At 34.8% G+C, this 2,584-nt stretch overlaps 1 annotated feature.

The window, feature by feature from the left end:
- Positions 231-1,430: an enhancer, noted in NCBI's record as "BRD4-independent group 4 enhancer chrX:4872887-4874086 (GRCh37/hg19 assembly coordinates)". NCBI's record gives its function as "activates an origin of replication core promoter dependent on BRD2, P300/CBP, MED14 and CDK7 cofactors, and independent of BRD4, by STARR-seq in HCT116 cells {active_cell/tissue: HCT116}" and the evidence as "EXISTENCE:reporter gene assay evidence [ECO:0000049][PMID:35650434]".

Raw genomic sequence — 2,584 nt, 5'->3', positions numbered from 1 at the left:
AGCTTTCAGATGAGATTTAAGTGTCTCATGATATTTTATAGAGTCTCTAAATCAGTGGATTCTGAGCTGGTTTTAATTTACAGCAATAAGGTTTTAATTTAATAATGATAATCTTTAGCAATGCATGCAGGAATTATTTATGTTACCAACTTTATTATGCTGACATTTTAAAAACTGTATAATTTTAATATCAGCATTAAATTGTCCTCATATTGCTGAAGTATTTTCTTTTGAAAAATACTTCACATTCTAAAATGAATACTAAACACACAGATAATTTAGCAACAATCGTAGTCGTTTTTATTGTTTCATTCTGATGTGTCTGTGGTGTTACTCTGTTAATTCAGGCTGCAAAGTGCTGAATGTGCCTGTTAATGTTTAAAAATAATAGTTAACTAGAGAAAGGTATGCCTTTATATACGGTATATGAAAATTCAATAAAACTTTAGGATTTCAGATTTCAAGATTGTTTTGAAATTTAACTGCTTCTTTCACAAATCAACCTTGGCTTGCTTCAAAATCAACACATACGATTTATCAGCATTTTACGTGCTAATTAACGTCCTGGAGGCTTGGTAATGTATGCTGTTGCCTTACTGATATTACACTAAATAAGATTTATTCATACAAAGTTGATTATTTCTTGACTGGAATATACTGAAACAGCATTTCTGGATTTCTGTGAGTACGTTTTCTTTTGTCTGACGCTTAGATCTGCTAATGCTGAGTGCTGAAGACATCCAAGCACGCTGCTTGTGGCCGTCACGTCTGGAAAATCAGAGATAGAGATAGCAACATTGAAAAATTTCAAGTTGGCAATGCATGAGCAGAGGTGAGCAGAATTTGGGCTTCATGACACCATAGCATGGAGATTACTATGTTGACTCATGAAAACCAACATTGTGGTGAGTGAGATTTTTTGTTGTTTTGTTGTTTGCTTGTTTTTCTCTCAGTGGGAGGAAAATATGGGCTTCTTCCTCCATTGTAAAAAGAAAACTTATACTATATTTTATGACTGAGTTGGTAAAAAGATAAGTTACTATCCTATATTCAAACATTTCTTTGACTTAAAAGTTCAATTTTATTCTCTGATTTTTTTAAATTTTAAATTAAAAAAATTTTCCTCTGATTTTAGAAAACATCGAAACATTTTCATAAGTCCTTGTATCTCATGGATAAGCTAGACATGGGATCCAGGAATGGGTTTTCCCATGAGTTTTCCAGGTGATTCTGATGAATGGCTGGCAAAAGTCGAAGAGCCTTTGTCTTACCTGGAAGTAGGAGGCTATAGCATTCACAGATTAGGAACATTCGAGTTTTTACACTTGCATGTCTCATCCCTTTTCTCATGGCCAGCATAAAGGATCTTTTCATGAGGCATCTTGAGCAGATCTAGGAACCCTCACAATGACTCAAGAGACTTAGAGAGGACATTGATGGATTTAAGTGTTCTCTATGTGGATGTCCTGCTTCTCTTTCTTTCAGTAATTCTCTCAAACAAAATGGCCCTTAACCCAGAAAAGACATGAGGTTCAAACGCTCATTTCCTGTAAACACTGGTAATAACAGATGAAGACCCAGGAGTTCATGACAAGGTGATTTAATTCATCATCCAAAATGAAGCACAAAGACGCCAACCATTTTTTCCTTAAGATGATGGTGATTGAATATCTGACTGCACTACTGAAGAAAATCACAAACTGGCTTGTTCAGGAAAACTCTAAGCCAATAATATACATCTTTATGCATCTGTGCTGCCTTCAGTTGTTTCTTATCTGAAGCTTAAGAAACCAAAAACAATTTTGGAGTTCTCATCGGGTCTATGATACAGTTAAATCACATTCTTAGAATCTTTCCTCTGATAACCATGTGACCTCATTAACAAAAAATAAATACCCACCCATTTTACAATTTAGAGAGTTTCTCTTTATTTCCATTATATTGAAATTCTAAAACATTTAACAATAAGGTGTGTCATGTTAGTTACATGCACAACCATTGGCAGATGTTCTGTATGGAAGGATCCAGGGATACATTCAAAATCTCTTTAAAAAAATTTTATTTTAGGTTTGGGGGTATACGTGAAGGTTTGTTACATAGATATACACATGTCATGGGGGTTTGTTGTACAGATTATTACATCACCCGGGTATTAAACTCAGTACCCAATAGTTATCTTTTCTGCTCCTCTCCCTCCTCCTACCCACCCCCTTCAGGTAGATCCCAGTGTCTGTTGTTTCTTCCAGGGTTTTTGTAGTTTTGGGTTTTACATTTAAGTGTTTAATCCATCTTGAGTTGATTTTTGTGTACGGTGTAACGAAGGGGTCCAGCTTCAATCTTCTGCATATGGCTAGCCAGTTATGCCAGCACCACTTATTGAATAAGGAGTGTTTTCCCTATTGCTTGTTTTTGTAAGCAAAGATTTCAAAAGTAATGCAACATCTATTACTGTGTAATAAATTTATCTCTTTCGACCACATACCATAAAAATCTAGATAGGCTTTCATTCATGTGCATGTACAGAAAAGTTAAATGTGTATACTCATTAGTCCAATTTAAATATTGAAGAGTGCCACACTGGGTT

Source organism: Homo sapiens, chromosome X (genome assembly GCF_000001405.40).
Source record: "Homo sapiens chromosome X, GRCh38.p14 Primary Assembly".
Lineage (NCBI taxonomy): Eukaryota > Metazoa > Chordata > Mammalia > Primates > Hominidae > Homo > Homo sapiens.
Note: the sequence above shows the minus strand (reverse complement) of the source record. Positions and strands in the feature narration are given on the sequence as shown.